The sequence below is a fragment of the Homo sapiens genome, chromosome 5 (assembly GCF_000001405.40).
Source record: "Homo sapiens chromosome 5, GRCh38.p14 Primary Assembly".
In the NCBI taxonomy this organism is placed as follows: Eukaryota; Metazoa; Chordata; class Mammalia; order Primates; family Hominidae; genus Homo; species Homo sapiens.
The window spans coordinates 106,415,886-106,434,765 of NC_000005.10; the positions used below are offsets into that span (position 1 = coordinate 106,415,886).

The window sequence follows — 18,880 nt, forward strand, 5'->3', positions numbered from 1 at the left end:
GATTCTGGCTTCTGGGAACCCTTTCCTGGGATACTCCTGTTGTTTTGTAATTTTCTTTCTTTTTCCTGTTTTAGTTCCAACTCAAGCTGGTTCTGCTGCCTGGTGAGCTCCTCGACTTTTAGCTGCAGACAGTTGATCTTGTCTTCAAAGTCCTGTTTGAAGAGCCGGTTGTCCAACTCAGCAGACCGACAGCTCTGCTCAGCCTGGTGCAATCTTTGTTCAAGTTGTTTAATGATAACAGCCATCTGATTAGTCTTCTCTTCCAAGCTACTATTTAGTTCACTTTTCTGTTTTACTCCTAAGTCTGAACTCTGCAGCTTAAAGGCAAGTTCATGCTTGAGGGGCCTGAGATCATCCACCTGCTGCTGAAGACATACCAGGGCATCCTGCTTCTCACAGACATCCTTCTCCAGCATCTTCATATCTCCTGCCTCATGCTGATCTGCATCTCCAGTTCTTTTTCAACATCCAGTGGTAATTGTGTCTCTTCTTTTAAATGCTTTCTTGCTTCATTTAGTGCTTGCCCTGTTGCAGTTCTGTCTTGCTTGGGACCCTTTCAACTGGATTCCAGTATGTAGGAACTTTCCTCTCTAACTCGTTACATTTCTTCTTGTAAGGTAATAATCCTGTTGTTTGCAACCGCAAGCTCCTCTGTCAGTTTAGTGTTGGATTTTTCTAATGCATCTACTTTTGCCTGAAGGTTGTTTACAGTAGCATTCAAATGTCTGTTGGGTTCTTCTACAAAGTTCTTCTGGTCCAGAATCGCAGTAATCTGACTGTCTCCTTCACTAACTTTACTGCTGTTCCCGTCCTTGAGATACATTGAAAAATCTGTAACTCCAGCCTGAGAGTCCAAGTCTTCTCCTTTCACACAGAAATTGGCATCAGTTACATTCAGACCCACCAACAGGCCAGCAATTATGGCTCCTTCTTCTTCCATCATAAGGGCACTGGGTTCGTAGAATTCACTGAGAAGTTCTTTCTTATTGATCAAAGCTTTCATATATTTGAAAGTTTCTTTTGCATTAATGCCAAGCGAAGGCAGGCTCTTCCTCTACCTACTGGCGTCTTAAGTCCTGGAAGATCTTTAAAACTTGCTGTTATCTCTGCGGCTCCTGGAACAGGCTTTTCTACCAGTTCTAGAGCCCCCCAGAAGGATTTATTTTGTCCAAGTTTTTTTTTTTTTTTTTTTAGAGCTTTCAAGCCATATTTCAGACAGTGCTCCATCACCACAAAGAATTGCTGAAGAGGTGCATAGTCAGAGTCAAGAGTCCTCTCCAGGTTCAGAGCTGATTCAGTCAAGCCCTTGATAGTCAGCTTGGCCGTGTTCATGAGGTTCATGTGTTCCTTAGCCATGAGATAATTAGGATGGTGCTTGCCGCTGCCGCTGCAGCGCTGCTGCTCAGGTAGCTCAGCAGCAGGAAGGGTAGCGGGCAGCAGGCGACAGCGGGGTCCTCCAGGAGCGCTGCTGCTCAGCTGTGGGCGCACTCCGAAGCCGGCTCCTCGATCGCCTGGGTACAGCAGGAAGAAGGGGGCGGCCACGGCAAGGCAGCCTCCGACTGCCCGGCGGGGGAGGCCGGCGGCGGCCCCTTCTCGCCCTCTCCTATAAGCAGTTTTATAAGCTTCCTGAGACTAGAAAAAGAAAAGAAAAGAAAAGAAAAGAAAAGAAAAATCAGTCTCTATTTTATATGCGTATAATTTTTTTTATATGCGTATAATTTTTTTTTTAACCAAAAACTCATTATGGACAAAACAAACTACCATCCCACTCCAAATTATCTCTGCATCATGCTCACAACCTCAGCACAAAGTTCAATAGAAGTTTATTGGATATGTTGGCTTCAATCATTGAGTGCCGTAATGATGAAATTTCGTCAGTTTTTGTAAACATTCTCTGAGGCCAGCTAAAACTCAGGCTGTTCTGAGGGTTACACTAATTTTGAGAAAGGCTTGCAATGAGGATCCCTTTTTTTGTCTACCTCAGAAAAAATATATAGGTTTAAAACCAGAGTTCTTCGTTAATGTCACACATCTAAAACCTAGATACACAGGATAATTACTTTATCGCTATGGTAATTAATATATAAATATTTTAGAATATTAGGAAAATTTAGAAAGTTTTGCTAGTGCTGTTTGCCTTCATTAGGAAATGCTTAAACAATAAATTGATAACGATTGTTAAAAAATTAATCTGTGACATTAAATTTTATTTCCAAATATGTTTTATGGGAATTGTATTCTACTTTTTGTATTTTTACCACAGTCTTTTATTATACTACGTATAAACCTGTATTTAATATCATATATGTTTTTGTCTTTGACATTTGAGAGATCCCTATTTTTATGAAATAATCAGCTTTGTAAATATTTCTTATTCTATTTTAAATACTTGGTTCTAAATTACATGAAATACCAGTTTTAAGTATGGTTTTGTGGACAATTAGACACACCAAAAAGTCACCACCACAGAATTATCGTTTAGTGAGAGGCCTTAAGCATGGAAATTGTTAAAGTAAACTTCTCTAACCACAATGGTTGAATGACTTATTCACAGTGGTAATGGAACTATTTGGGTCACTTTCAGAAAAAAAAAATTATATAGTTATGTTACTGCAATTGCAATACATCACTGTATTATTAAAAATGGAAATTATATTTTTACTATTTTTTTGCCTCTCTTCGCCCACCCCCACAAAACAAGGTCCTACTAATTTAGCAAGAAAGTTGACAAGTTACATTTTAATCTGATGCAAGAAAATTTAGACTATTCAGGTATTATTTTTAATTCAAAACAAAGAGTATGTGTGTCTTCCTCACTTTGTGAGACTGAGATAGCATTGAAAATCATCAAATAATTTTTATGTAAAGTTGTAAATTTTAAAAAATGTTTTGAAATGCTTTCAAAGCAATATTTTAAACATGTTTTGAATGTGTTGCCATACACTGTGATTTACATAAGCAAATCTCACCAAAAACAGTGATTAATGTACTTATCATTTTCATTTTAGTGATGAAAAAATTTTGGATTCTTCCACATGGCCTCTAAGAGTGCCATCCAATTCAAAAGGGAATTTTTAATAATTAACCATTCAAAATCTTTAAATGCTTGATGCATTGTAAACACTTATGCTTACAGAACTTCAAAAGAGGAAGGGAACCTATAAGTTAGTAGAAAAGAAGGTTAAGTTTCATGGTTACTAAAAATATTTGAGAGAGATGGATTAATATGCAGTATACATTTCCTGACAGAATTAATTAAAAACAATTTTTAAAGATATTAAATATGAAGGTGTTAAACAGTGGGAAAAGGAGTAGCTTTTCCAAGAAAAAAAAATGATGCTTATGTTGGACACGGTGGGCAGGGAGAAATTCAGATTCTTTTGAAAATGTAAGTACAATATAAAAAGCACATACACAAAATTTAGTTTGGATTTGTTTTCTTTTCTAGTTTTAGCAACTGAAGTCCAATGTTGTTTTAGTGACTGGGCATGATTGTACTTATCCACATCTTTCCCAAAAATGTATGCATACATTTTCTGTCTTCACTTATATTTTATATCTATGTTATCATATTTGGCAGAAAATTATTCTCTACATAGGCATTGTAGCATTTTACATAATTCTAATTAGGCATATATCATGACATATATGGTATAGATCATCCTGGTACTATTGCTAACAAAGTAAAATTTTGCTGAGAAAGTAAGATGAGAATCTTAGAAGCTTTGATTATCAGATGCTGAGGACAGCTGTGGTATTAAAAGCTAATAGTTTGAAAACAATAATCTACTGAAAAAATGATGGTACAGAATGACCATATGCATTATGCTATGTAAAAAGAAAGCATATAGACACACACACACTAGCTATAGAAAGAGACATATTTATATAACACCTCAGTTTTTCTTTAACATAGTTGGTTTTTCCTTTTTTCCCCCATTACTTCTGACAAGTTCAGTACATTGTATAGTTTTTAACCTTCAAAGTTCTTGCTAAGATTAAGTTTTGCTAAGATTAAGAAAAGTGCTTTTGTGCTAATATTGTTTACACTAGAAAAAGCATGAAGGTGTTTTGAGAGATTGTCAAACTCAGCCACCCCTCAATAAACATAAAATTTAATCAAAATCAGTGTACTTCCTAGAAAAACCCAGCTTTAAAGTGAGCTGCCTACTCTGCTTTTGCAAAAAGCAGAAACACACAAACACACCCACACACCCCTATCCATTCCCACCACGCAAATACTCCCGGACAAAAGTCTTTCGCTAAACTTTATCTATACAGAGGTTCTAGATGCAACCATGATATAAGGAAAATTGAATCTGAATTTCAAATTTAATTTTCCCTGAATGTGTACATGGAATGTGTGTGTGTATATGAAATAATTATATGTTGCTGTTCTCAACTGATTATAATGCTATTACGTAATCAATTTTACATTGTGAACATTAATTTTTTTAAATTTATGGACAAAATAATATCTGTTCACTGTGGATAACATGATATTTTGGAGTATAAATATACATTGTGGAATGATTAAATCTATATAATTAACATATGTATTACCTCACATAGTTACCTAACCATAGTTACTGTATTATACAATAGATGTCCTGAACTTTTTTCTCTTCTCTAATTGGAATTTTGTATCCATTGACCAATGTTTCCCCAACACCTACCCCTACCAACCCAGTACCTGGTATCACTCTCCTGTTCTCTACTTCTGTGAGATTAACTTTTTTTAGATTCCACATATGAATTAGATAATGCAGTATTTGTCTTTCTGTGTCTGACTTATTTCACTTAGCATAATGTCCTTTAGGTTTATCCAGACTGTCCTTCTTTTGATAGCTGAATAGTATTCCAGTGTGTACATATAAATATTTTCTTTTTTCATTAATCTGTTGATAGACACTTAGGTTATATCTTGGTTATTGTGAATAATACTAAAACAAACATAGCAGTGCAAATATTGCTTCAACAGACTGATTTCATTTCCTTTGGATGTATACCCAGTAGTGGGAATGCTGGATCATGTGGTGGTCTTATTTTTAATTTTTTGAGAAAGCTCCATATTGTTTCCATAATGGCTGTACTAATACACATTCCCACCAACAATGGGCAAATGTTTCCTTTCCTTTACTTCCTTGCTAACACTTAGCTCTTGTCTTTGATCATAGCCGTTCTAACATGTGCTTGGTCATATCTTGGTCATATCTCACTGTGGTTTGGATTTGCATTTTCCTGATAATCAATGATGTTGAACATTGTTTTTTATGTACCTGATTGCTATTTGAATGTTGTCTTTTGAAAAATGCCTATTCAAGTCCATTGTACAGTTTTTGAGTTATTGCTTCTTTTGCTATTGAGTTGTTTGAGTTCCTTCTATATTATGTGTATTAACCCCTTATTAAATACATAGTTTGCTAATATTTTTCCTGTTCAGTAGGTTGTCTCTTTATTCTGTTGATTGTTTCCTTTGTTGTGAAGAACCTTTTTAGTTTGATGTAATCCCATTTGTCTATTTTTGCTAGCGTTGCCTGTGCTTTTGGGGCCATATTCAAAGTTATTGCCCAGAACAGTGTAATGGAGATTTTTCTCTATTTTTTTCTAGTAGTTTCATAGTTTTGGGTCTTACATGTAAGTCTTTAATTATTTTTGAGTTTATTTTGGTATATGGTGTGAGATAGGGTCTAATGTTTTTCTTCTGCATGTGCATATCTAGTTTTCCCAATAGCATTTATTAGAGAGCCTGTCCATGCATCACTGTATGTTCTTGATGCCTTTGGTGAATATCAGTTGACTGTAAATATGTGGATTTACTTCTGGGTTCTGTATTCTATTCCAATGTTCTACGTGTCTGTTTTTATTACAGAAATATGCTATTTTATTTACTACAGTTTTGTAGGGTATTTTGATTCAGGTAGTGTGATGTCTCCAAACTTTCTTCTTTTTGCTCAAAATTGCTTTGGGTATTTAGGATCTTTGTGGTTCCATAATAATTTTAAGGTATTTTTCCTATTTCTGTGAAGAAAGTCATTGGCATTTTGATAGGGATTGTGTTGAATTTGTAGATTGCTTTGGATAATAAGATCATTTTATCAATATTAATTCTTCAGATCTATGAACACAAGAAATCTTCCCATGTATTTGTGTCTTCTTCAATATCAATGTTTTATAGTTTTTAATGGAGAGATTTTTCACCTTCTTAATTTTTTTTTGTAACTATTATAAATGGGTTAGTTATACATTTTCTTTTTCAGATAATTTGCTGTTAGTATATAAAACCACATTTCCCTCATTCAGATGCTGGTGCCTGCAGTGGAAGTTGCTTGTGGTATGTCTGGTCCAGCCACAGCTTCAAACAGATTTTTGCATGGTGACTTTTTATTCTGCAACTTGACTGAATTCTTTTATTAATCCTAGTAGTTGTTTGGTGGCATCTTTAGGGTTTTCTATATTATAACATCATATTTGCAAAGACAGACAATTTAACTTATTCATTTATGATTTGGATATCTTTTATTTCTTCCTCTTGCCTAATTGCCCTGGTTAAAACCTGAAGTTCTATATTAAATAAAAGGAGCAAGAGTGGGCATTCTTGTCTTATTCCAGATCTGTGAGAAAAAGCTTTCAAATTTTCACTGTTGAATATTATGTTAGCTATTGCTTTGTCTTATATAGTCTTTCTTGTGTTTAGGTACATTCTATACCTGATTTGTTCAGTGTTTTTAACAATAAAATAAAGTTAAATTGTATTCAATGCATTTTCTGCATCTATTATAATGAGTGTATGAATTTTGTTCCTTATTCTATTAAAGTGATGTTTCACATTTGTTAATTTAGACATTGGTGGCGAGAGGCAGACAGTTTCCTAGGCAGGAAGGGGTGGGTCCCTAGTGAAACAGCACCTTCAAGCCAGGGATGGCCTGAACCTATGGGGTTGGGCTTCCAGTTCCAGGTGAAGTCCTCCACCAGGAATGAGAACTTTCTTGGTGCCTTTTGGTCAATCAAGTGATGCTTTATCCAGCCAGATTAGACACTCCTTGGGACCACCTTACTGCTGATAGGATATACCCACTTTGTGTCTCCTCTCTGCGGACAGCCTTTTGGTCACCCAGTAAAGCTCTTCTCCACCTTGCTCACCCTCTAATTGTCCATGTAACCTCATTCTTCCTGGACATGGGACAAGAACTCGGGACTGCCAAACAGCAGGCATGAAAGGGGCTTTAACACATTCCTGGCTGGCTTACCAGGCTGTGGGTGATGACATGCTCCCAGATCGTGGGAGTGAAAAGTGATGACCCTTCTGGGGTCCCAGACCTTAGGACTCCCTGAACCAGAGCTGTAACACTATAGCCCTCTCACCCTCTGCTGGTGCTGGGTGGCTGACCCACACAACACCAAGCAGTGGTGAGGCTGGACCAGCCCAGGAGCCACTGGCCAGAGCAGGGCAGTAAGACTGAAATAGCTGTAACACAAATGGGCCTGCAACAAACCTACCCCCTTACTTACCGTGCTGCAGATGACAAAAAGAAGGAGGAGAAAAGAGCTGCAGCCCTTCTGGGAGTTCAGACCTCAGGGCTTCCTGAGCCAGGGCTGTGACATGCCCTAACACACTCTTTGGGACTCTGCAGTTCCTGGCGTCTCTGAGCTTTCAGGCACCACCACATTTCCCTCATTCAGATGCTGGTGCCTGCAGCGGAAGTTGCTTGCGGTATGTCTGGTCCAGCCACAGCTTCACACAGAGCCAACGCCTGTGCCAGTGCCTGAAGCTGCCTGCCCCACTGCAGCAGCTGACATGCATGACTGTGCACAGTGGCCGGACCCCATGTTCAGTCACTCACACATGGTTTGCTGCTGTGCGCCTGGCTTGCCCTTGGCAGGTGTGGGATCCAGGTCAGTAGTGTGAACCAGATGCAGCCTGCTGGGCTGAGTGGGTGGAACAAGCCCAGCAGGCATGATCAAAACTCAGGCAGAGGCCCCACCAACCACAGAGGTTTCTGTCTAGTGAAGCGACACCCAAAGGATCCTGTGACAGTATGTTGAACCATTCCTGCAGCCCTGGATTTAGTACCATTTGGTCATGTTAATGATCTTTTTTCTGTCCTGTTAAATTCAGTTTGGCAGAAGTTTGCTGAGGATTTTTGCTTCTATACCCATCAAGGGGTCTCAGCCTGCAGTTTTCTTTTTTTGTGATATATTTGGTTTTGCATCAGGCTTAGCTGGCCTCATAAAATAATTTTGTAAGTATTTCTTCCTCTTTATTTTTTTTGAAAGAGTTTGAGGAGAATTAGTATTAGTTATTTAAATGACTGATAGAATTCAGCAGTGAAGTGATGAGGTTTTTGGCTGTTCTTTGATTTGAGGCATTTTATTACTAATTCAACATCCTTACTTGTTACTGGTCTCTTGCGAGTTTCTATTTTCTTCATAACTCACTCCTGGTAGGTTGTATGCATCAAAGAATGTATCAATTTCTTCTATATTATCCAATTTGTTACATATAGTTGTTCATAATAGTCTCATGATACTTTGTATTTCTTTGTATCAGCTATAATGTCTCCTTTTTCTTTCTGATTTTATCTATTTGTCTTTTTTGTTTTTCTTAGTCTAGCTAAAGGTTTCTCAATTTATCTTTTCAGATAAACAACTCATAAACTTGTTGATCTTTTATATTGTTTTTCTAGTCCCTACTTCATTTATTTCTACTCTAATTTTTATTATTTTCTTTCTTCTACAAAGTTTGTGCTTAGTTTATTCTTGTTTTTCTGGTTCCCTGAGATGCAACATTAAGTGTTTTATTTGAGATCTTTTTTTTTCTTTTTTGGTGTAGCTATATGTCACTATAAACTTCTGTCTTTGAACTGATTTTGCTGTATCCCATAGGTTTTGGTATGTGTGTTGTTTTTTTTTGTCTCAATAAATTTAAAATTTTTCTTTTAGTTTCTTCATTGACCTATTGGTTGTTGAAGAACATGTTGTTTAATTTCTACATATTTGTGAATTTCCTGAAGCTTCTCCTATTATTGATTTCTTGTTTTATACCATTGTGGTCAGAAACAATACTCAATATAAATTTTAAAATCTTATATTATTCAAGAATTGTTTTGTGGCCTAACGTGTGATCTGTCCTAGAGATTGTCTCATGTGCAGTTGAGAAGAATGTACATTCTTCAGCTGTTGGATGGAATGTTTTGTATATGTCTGTTAGGTTCATTTGATCTAGAATGTAGATTAACTAGGATGTTGATTTATTTTCTGTCTAGATGACAGAAAAATTCTGGTGTTTAAATTCCCTACTAGTATTGTATTGTTGTCTAGCTCTCCTTTCAGAAATATTTACATTTGCTTTATATATTTAGGTGCTCCAATATTCAGTATATATTTATAAATATAGTATCATCTAAATGAATTTACCCCTTTATTATTAAATAATGCCCTTCTTTGTCTCTTTTTACACTTTTGAAAGTCTGGTTTAGTTGCTGTGGATATAACCATTCTTTTTTTTTTTTATACTTTAAGTTTTAGGGTACATGTACACATTGTGCAGGTTAGTTACATATGTATACATGTGCCATGCTAGTGCACTGCACCCACTAACTTGTCATCTAGCATTAGGTATATCTCCCAATGCTATCCCTCCCCCATTCCCCCACCCCACAACAGTCCCCAGAGTGTGATATTCTCCTTCCTGTGTCCATGTGATCTCATTGTTCAATTCCCACCTGTGAGTGAGAATATGCGGTGTTTGGTTTTTTGTTCTTGCGACAGTTTACTGAGAATGATGTTTTCCAATTTCATCCGTGTCCCTACAAAGGACATGAACTCATCCTTTTTTATGGCTGCATAGTATTCCATGGTGTATATGTGCCACATTTTCTTAATCCAGTCTATCATTGTTGGACATTTGGGTTGGTTCCAAGTCTTTGCTATCGTGAATAATGCTGCAATAAACATACGTGTGCATGTGTCTTTATAGCAGCATGATTTATAGTCCTTTGGGTATATACCCAGTAATGGGATGGCTGGGTCAAATGGTATTTCCAGTTCTAGATCCCTGAGGAATTGCCACACTGACTTCCACAATGGTTGAACTAGTTTACAGTCACATCAACAGTGTAAAAGTGTTCCTATTTCTCCACATCCTCTTCAGCACCTGTTGTTTCCTGACTTTTTAATGATTGCCATTCTAACTGGTGTGAGATGGTATCTCATTGTGGTTTTGATTTGCATTTCTCTGATGGCCAGTGATGATGAGCATTGTTTCATGTGTTTTTTGGCTGCATAAATGTCTTCTTTTGAGAAGTGTCTGTTCATGTCCTTCACCCACTTTTTGATGGGGTTGTTTGTTTTTTCTTGTAAATTTGTTTGAGTTCATTGTAGATTCTGGATATTAGCCCTTTGTCAGATGAGTAGGTTGCGAAAATTTTCTCCCATTTTGTAAGTTGCCTGTTCACTCTGATGGTAGTTTCTTTTGCTGTGCAGAAGCTCTTTAGTTTAATTAGACCCCATTTGTCAATTTTGTCTTTTGTTGCCATTGCTTTTGGTGTTTTAGACATGAAGTCCTTGCCCATGCCTATGTCCTGAATGGTAATGCCTAGGTTTTCTTCTAGGGTTTTTATGGTTTTAGGTCTAACGTTTAAGTCTTTAATCCATCTTGAATTGATTTTTGTATAAGGTGTAAGGAAGGGATCCAGTTTCAGCTTTCTACCTATGGCTAGCCAGTTTTCCCAGCACCATTTATTAAATAGGGAATCCTTTCCCCATTGCTTGTTTTTCTCAGGTTTGTCAAAGATCAGATAGTTGTAGATATGCGGCGTTATTTCTGAGGGCTCTGTTGTGTTCCATTGATCTATATCTCTGTTTTGGTTCCAGTACCACGCTGTTTTGGTTACTGTAGCCTTGTAGTATAGTTTGAAGTCAGGTAGTGTGATGCCTCCAGCTTTGTTCTTTTGGCTTAGGATTGACTTGGTGATGCGGGCTCTTTTTTGGTTCCATATGAACTTTAAAGTAGTTTTTTCCAATTCTGTGAAGAAAGGCGTTGGTAGCTTGATGGGGATCGCATTGAATCTGTAAATTACCTTGGGAAGTATGGCCATTTTCACGATATTGATTCTTCCTACCCATGAGCATGGAATGTTCTTCCATTTGTTTGTATCCTCTTTTATTTCCTTGAGCAGTGGTTTGTAGTTCTCCTTGAAGAGGTCCTTCACATCCCTTGTAAGTTGGATTCCTAGGTATTTTATTCTCTTTGAAGCAATTGTGAATGGGAGTTCACTCATGATTTGGCTCTCTGTTTGTCTGTTATTGGTGTATAAGAATGCTTGTGATTTTTGTACATTGATTTTGTATCCTGAGACTTTGCTGAAGTTGCTTATCAGCTTAAGGAGATTTTGGGCTGAGACAACGGGGTTTTCTAGATATACAATCATGTCGTCTGCAAACAGGGACAATTTGACTTCCTCTTTTCCTAATTGAATACCCTTTATTTCCTTCTCCTGCCTAATTGCCCTGGCCAGAACTTCCAACACTATGTTGAATAGGAGTGCTGAGAGAGGGCATCCCTGTCTTGTGCCAGTTTTCAAATGGAATGTTTCCAGTTTCTGCCCATTCAGTATGATATTGGCTGTGGGTTTGACATAGATAGCTCTTATTATTTTGAAATACATCCCATCAATAACTAATTTATTGAGAGTTTTTAGCATGAAGTGTTGTTGAATTTTGTCAAAGGCTTTTTCTGCATCTATTGAGATAATCATGTGGTTTTTGTCTTTGGCTCTGTTTATATGCTGGATTACATTTATTGATTTGTGTATATTGAACCAGCTTTGCATCCCAGGGATGAAGCCCACTTGATCATGGTGGATAAGCTTTTTGATGTGCTGCTGGATTCGTTTTGCCAGTATTTTACTGAGGATTTTTGCATCAATGTTCATCAAGGATATTGGTCGAAAATTCTCTTTTTTTGTTGTGTCTCTGCCTGGCTTTGGTATCAGAATGATGCTGGCCTCATAAAATGAGTTAGGGAGGATTCCCTCTTTTTCTATTGATTGGAATAGTTTCAGAAGGAATGGTACCAGTTCCTCCTTGTACCTCTGGTAGAATTCAGCTGTGAATCCATCTGGTCCTGGACTCTTTTTGGTTGGTAAGCTATTGATTATTGCCACAATTTCAGCTCCTGTTATTGGTCTATTCAGAGATTCAACTTCTTCCTGGTTTAGTCTTGGGAGAGTGTATGTGTCAAGGAATTTATCCATTTCTTCTAGATTTTCTAGTTTATTTGCGTAGAGGGGTTTGTAGTATTCTCTGATGGTAGTTTGTATTTCTGTGGGATCGGTGGTGATATCCCCTTTATCATTTTTTATTGCGTCTATTCGATTCTTCTCTCTTTTTTTCTTTATTAGTCTTGCTAGCGGTCTATCAATTTTGTTGATCCTTTCCAAAAACCAGCTCCTGGTTTCATTAATTTTTTGAAGGGTTTTTTGTGTCTCTATTTCCTTCAGTTCTGCTCTGATTTTAGTTATTTCTTGGCTTCTGCTAGCTTTTGAATGTGTTTGCTCTTGCTTTTCTAGTTCTTTTACTTGTGATGTTAGGGTGTCAATTTTGGATCTTTCCTGCTTTCTCTTGTGGGCATTTAGTGCTATAAATTTCCCTCTACACACTGCTTTGAATGTGTCCCAGAGATTCTGGTATGTTGTGTCTTTGTTCTCGTTGGTTTCAAAGAACATCTTTATTTCTGCCTTCATTTTGTTATGTACCCAGTAGTCATTCAGGAGCAGGTTGTTCAGTTTCCATGTAGTTGAGCGGATTTGAGTGAGATTCTTAATCCTGAGTTCTAGTTTGATTGCACTGTGGTCTGAGAGATAGTTTGTTGTAATTTCTGTTCTTTTACATTTGCTGAGGAGAGCTTTACTTCCAAGTATGTGGTCAGTTTTGGAATAGGTGTGGTGTGGTGCTGAAAAAATGTATATTCTGTTGATTTGGGGTGGAGAGTTCTGTAGATGTCTATTAGGTCTGCTTGGTGCAGAGCTGAGTTCAATTCCTGGGTATCCTTGTTGACTTTCTGTCTCGTTGATCTGTCTAATGTTGACAGTGGGGTGTTAAAGTCTCCCATTATTATTGTGTGGGAGTCTAAGTCTCTTTGTAGGTCACTCAGGACTTGCTTTATGAATCTAGGTGCTCCTGTATTGGGTGCATATATATTTAGGATAGTTAGCTCTTCTTGTTGAATTGATCCCTTTTCCATTATGTAATGGCCTTCTTTGTCTCCTTTGATCTTCATTGGTTTAAAGTCTGTTTTATCAGAGACTAGGATTGCAACCCCTGCCTTTTTTTGTTTTCCATTTGCTTGGTAGATCTTCCCCCATCCTTTTATTTTGAGCCTATGTGTGTCTCTGCACGTGAGATGGGTTTCCTGAATACAGCACACTGATGGGTCTTGACTCTTTATCCAATTTGCCAGTCTGTATCTTTTAATTGGAGCATTTAGCCCATTTACATTTAAAGTTAATATTGTTATGTGTGAATTTGATCCTGTCATTATGATGTTAGCTGGTTATTTTGCTCGTTAGTTGATGCAGTTTCTTCCTAGTCTTGATGGTCTTTACATTTTGGCATGATTTTGCAGCGGCTGGTACCGGTTGTTCCTTTCCATGTTTATTGCTTCCTTCAGGAGCTCTTTTAGGGCAGGCCTGGTGGTGAGAAAATCTCTCAGCATTTGCTTGTCTGGAAGGTATTTTATTTTTCCTTCACTTATGAAGCTTAGTTTTGCTGGATATGAAATTCTGGGTTGAAAATTCTTGTCTTTAAGAATGTTGAATATTGGCCTCCACTCTCTTCTGGCTTGTAGGGTTTCTGCCGAGAGATCTGCTGTTAGTCTGATGGGCTTCCCTTTGAGGGTAACTCGACCTTTCTCTCTGGCTGCCCTTAACATTTTTCCTTCATTTCAACTTTGGTGAATCGGATAATTATGTGTCTTGGAGTTGCTCTTCTCGAGGAGTATCTTTGTGGCTTTCTCTGTATTTCCTGAATCTGAACATTGGCCTGCCTTGCTAGATTGGGGAAGTTCTCCTGGATAATATCCTGCAGAGTGTTTTCCAACTGGGTTCCATTCTCCCCATCACTTTCAGGTACACCAATTAGATGTAGATTTGGTCTTTTCACATAGTCCCATATTTCTTGGAGGCTTTGCTCATTTCTTTTTATTCTTTTTTCTCTAAACTTCCCTTCTCACTTCATGCCATTCATTTCATCTTCCATCGCTGATACCCTTTCTTCCAGTTGATCGCATTGGCTCCTGAGGCTTCTGCATTCTTCACGTAGTTCTCGAGCCTTGGTTTTCAGCTCCATCAGCTCCTTTAAGCACTTCTCTGTAATCGTTATTCTAGTTATACATTCTTCTAAATTTTTTTCAAAGTTTTCAACTTCTTTGCCTTTGTTTTGAATGTCCTCCCGTAGCTCAGAGTAATTTGATCGTCTGAAGCCTTCTTCTCTCAGGTCGTCAAAGTCATTCTCCATCCAGCTTTGTTCCGTTGCTGGTGAGGAACTGCGTTCCTTTGGAGGAGGAGAGGCGCTCTGCTTTTTAGAGTTTCCAGTTTTTCTGTTCTGTTTTTTCCCCATCTTTGTGGTTTTATCTACTTTTGGTCTTTGATGATGGTGATGTACAGATGGGTTTTTGGTGTGGATGTCCTTTCTATTTGTTAGTTTTCCTTCTAACAGAGAGGACCCTCAGCTGCAGGTCTGTTGGAATACCCTGCCGTGTGAGGTGTCAGTGTGCCCCTGCTGGGGGGTGCCTCCCAGTTAGGCTGCTGGGGGGTCAGGGGTCAGGGACCCACTTGAGGAGGCAGTCTGTCTGTTCTCAGATCTCCAGCTGCGTGCTGGGAGAACCACTGCTCTCTTCAAAGCTGTCAGACAGGGACATTTAAGTCTGCAGAGGTTACTGCTGTCTTTTTGTTTGTCTGTGCCCTGCCCCCAGAGGTGGAGCCTACAGAGGCAGGCAGGCCTCCTTGAGCTGTGGTAGCTTCCAGGCTGCTTTGTTTACCTAATCAATCCTGGGCAATGGTAGGCGCCGCTCCCCCAGCCTTGCTGCTGCCTTGCAGTTTGATCTCAGACTGCTGTGCTAGCAATCAGCGAGACTCCGTTGGCGTAGGACCCTCCGAGCCAGGTGCGGGATATAATCTCATGGTGCACCGTTTTTTAAGCCCATTGGAAAAGTGCAGTATTCGGGTGGGAGTGACCCGATTTTCCAGGTGCCATCTGTCACCCCTTTCTTTGACTCAGAAAGGGAACTCCCTGACCCCTGCGCTTCCCAAGTGAGGCAATGCCTCGCCCTGCTTCGGCGCACGCACCCACTGACCTGCGCCCACTGTCTGGCAGTCCCTAGTGAGATGAACCCGGTACCTCAGTTGGAAATGCAGAAATCACCATCTTCTGTGTCGCTCACGCTGGGAGCTGTAGACCGGAGCTGTTCCTATTCGGCCATGTTGGCTCCTCCCCCGGATATAACCATTCTTGTACTTATTTAATTTTCATTTTTATGGAATACCTTTTTTTCTATCACTTTTATTCTCTGTGTGTCCTTAAAGGTGAGGTAAGTCTCTTCTAGGCAGCATATAGTTGGTTCTTTTTGGTAATACATTTATCCACTTGGTCGTTCATTTGCAGAATATAATTCATTTAATTTGAAGAAATTACTATCTGGTAAGAACTTATTACTGCCATTTTATTAATTGTTATTTAGTTGTTTTGTAGATTTTTCATTCTTTTCTTCTTCTTTTGCTGTCTTTTGATGCTAAGTAATTTCTATAGTGGTATGCTTTAATTTCTTGCCTTTTTTATGTATTTTCTATTGCTTTTGTTTGGTTGTTATTATGAGGCTGGCAAAAAGTTCTTATAGTTATAAAAGGCTATATTTAGCTGAAAACAATTTAACTTTAATTGCAAAAAGAAAAAAAAACTGTACAGCTCTATTCTACTCCACAGAACATTTTGAATTTTTGATGTCACCATTTATACATTTTTATAAATTTCCTAGTCTGTAAAAAATTACTGTGGCTATTATTAGTTTTAGTTGTTTTGTATTTTAGCCTTCATACTAAAAATATAATAGATTTACAGATCACTATTATAGTATTAGAGTATTCTGAGTTTGACTGTATGCTTACTTTTCTAGTTTCATATTTTCATGTTTTCATGTTACTCATTTGTACAGTGTTCTTTCAGCTTGAAGAACTCCTTTTATTATTTCTTGTAAGACAGTTCTGATGTTAATAAACTCCTTCAGCTTTTGTTGTCTGAGAACGTCTTTATTTATTCTTCTTTCTGAAACATAGCTTTGCTGGGTACTGCCTTCTTGATTGAAAGGTTGTTGTTGGTTTTACTTTCTTTCAGCATTTTGGATATATCACCCAATTATGTCCTGCCCTGTAAGGTTTCTGCAGAGAATTTTCCACCCCAAAGTTTTACTCTGTGATCTTGCTCTGCTCCTCTCCCCAGTTTTAGTTTTTATTTGGAAAAATCACAAACAGTTTTCTGTGTGCCTATTGTTTGCAAACTGTCAGTTCTTATTTTCAACAAAAAATTTAAATGAATTTGTCATTACTGTAAATATCCTTTATTATGGACTGAAATGTGTCCTTTCAAAATGGCATTTGAAGCCCTTATCCCCAAGGTGAGGATACTTGAAAACAGGACCTTTAAGTAGACAATTAAGCTTAAGTGAGGTCATATAGGAGGGACGCTAATCCAATAGGAATGGTGTCCTTATTTGATTAAAGAGAAAGAGAGAGAAAAAGAAATACCAGGAGTATGCAGAGACAGAGAAAAGGTGATGTGAAAACATAGTGAGAAGGGAGCTGTCTGCAAACCAGAAAGAGAGCCCTGATCAGAAATCAACAAACCCTGAAAGCAATTTGATCTTGGGGCTTTCAGCCTCCAGAACTATTAGAAAAAAAAAAAATTCTGTTGTTTAAGTCACCTCATCTGTGGTACTTTTCTTAAGGCATTTCTAGCGGATAAATATACCTTTTATTGCTTTTACATATGGCATTCTCATTTAATCTGATAAGGTATTTGTGAATATTCAGAGGGCACAGCAATAATTCAAGTTTGATTGTTATTTAAGGTGTTTTTAAAATTTACCCTTCTTGTATCTTTCCAAAAATAATACAAAATATAGAAAGAAATGTTAAAACTTAAAAGCTCTAAAAACTGATTGAGTATATTACAATTTTTCAGTCTAAAAATTATTTTTGTGTAAAATCAAGGTTTTAGAAGGCACATTCTTTTAACACTTTAGTTATTTTAAACATTTTATAATCCTGTTTTTTTAAAAAAAATATTATTGACAGTTACTTTAAATGGAAATCATTTCACTGTTAAGCAGATAATTGGTGTCCTTTGCTTTGCAGAAGTAATCCATTTTAAATGCAAAAGAAATTACTAGATAGGTAGCCTGAGAATATTCTGTATCAATTAAAAATTATCTAGAAGTGGAAAATACTGGTCAGGAAAACCTTGACGATTAAAAGTTCATCAAGGCCAACAGTTACTATGAAGTAATATCTAGTTCCAGTCAGTAAATTATGAATCTGTATCTCAGAATTTATCATAAAATAGAATCCAGACTCATACTCTTAGGCACAACATATTTCCTATTAACTTTATGGTCTAATTTTATATATGAATTGTAAATACATTGTGCATAAAATATGTGAAGGATATAATATGATCTATAAATTTAAGCTTTCAATATTGTGTGAGTATATGAATTATTAAAAGCTTACCTCCCACACAGGTGGCTGAGGCAGGAGAATCACTTGAACCTGGGAGGCAGAGGTTGCAGTGAGCTGAGATCGTGCCACTGCACTCCAGCCTGGTGACAGAGTGAGACTCAGTCTCAAAACAAAACAAAACAAAACAAAAACAAAAACAAAACAAAAGAAAGCTTGCCTCCCTTAGTAATATAAAAAATTAATATGCAAAAAATTGTAGTCTTTAAATTCTTGAACAATAATTCACACCAATAATCCCAGGATTAAACTAAGAATTGCTAGGGTTGGTTCCTGTAAATATAGCCTTTTACTACTGGAAGTCTTTTAAAAGAGTGTGTATTGCCACAAAGAATAGAAATTAATCAAATATAGCTTTAAGTACCGACAATATTCCATTTCAGATCAAGTCATTTATTCCATAACTATTTTGTAAGAAAGTAATACATACTAATCACTCTTTGAGCTCTTACACAGTTTATAATCTAATTTAAGAATAAACACATATGCACATATACAAACAACAAGATTTTATTTTATTTTTATTTATTTATTTTTGAGATGTAGTCTTGCTCTTTCACCCAGGCTGGAGTGCAGTAGCATGATCTTGGCTCACTGCAACCTCTGCCTCCTGGGTTCAAGCAAGTCTCCAGACTCAGACTCCTGAGTGGCTGGGACTACAGGTGCATGCCACCCACACCTGGCTAATTTTTGTAGTTTTAGTAGAGACAGGGTTTCACCATGTTGCCCAGGCTGGTCTCAAATTCCTGACCTTATGTGATCCACCCACCTCGCCTTCCCAAAGTGCTGGGATTACAGGTGTGAGCCATCCCATCATGCCCAGCCCAAACAACAGGATTTTAAATAATAACATGGGGAGATTTTAGTTAGAGCTGAGTAGTCATGGAAAGCCTTTTTGTGAAAGTGACATTTAAGCTAAGAACAGAATAGTAAATAGAATTTATAAAGAGAAAGGAAGAGATTTGTCAAAAGGAAAAACATTTGAGAGTATTTTAAAAATTTGAAGAAAATAACAACAGATTAAAGACAATAAGAAAAGAGAGTGGGAAAATAGGTTAATAAATACAGATGTAAGGGTTAGGTAATCATGT

The 18,880-nt window shown here is 37.4% G+C and overlaps 1 pseudogene, besides 3 other annotated features; it reads right to left on the reverse strand.

Annotated features, from left to right (window-relative positions):
* LOC345571 (RUN and FYVE domain containing 3 pseudogene) lies at positions 214-1,568 on the reverse strand (annotated as a pseudogene).
* Positions 7,208-7,708: an enhancer, noted in NCBI's record as "H3K27ac hESC enhancer chr5:105758794-105759294 (GRCh37/hg19 assembly coordinates)". NCBI's record gives its function as "activates a minimal SCP1, AML or CMV promoter by ChIP-STARR-seq in naive H9 embryonic stem cells {active_cell/tissue: H9 hESC(naive)}" and the evidence as "EXISTENCE:reporter gene assay evidence [ECO:0000049][PMID:30033119]".
* Positions 14,608-15,108: an enhancer, noted in NCBI's record as "H3K4me1 hESC enhancer chr5:105766194-105766694 (GRCh37/hg19 assembly coordinates)". NCBI's record gives its function as "activates a minimal SCP1, AML or CMV promoter by ChIP-STARR-seq in naive H9 embryonic stem cells {active_cell/tissue: H9 hESC(naive)}" and the evidence as "EXISTENCE:reporter gene assay evidence [ECO:0000049][PMID:30033119]".
* Positions 15,109-15,609: an enhancer, noted in NCBI's record as "H3K4me1 hESC enhancer chr5:105766695-105767195 (GRCh37/hg19 assembly coordinates)". NCBI's record gives its function as "activates a minimal SCP1, AML or CMV promoter by ChIP-STARR-seq in naive H9 embryonic stem cells {active_cell/tissue: H9 hESC(naive)}" and the evidence as "EXISTENCE:reporter gene assay evidence [ECO:0000049][PMID:30033119]".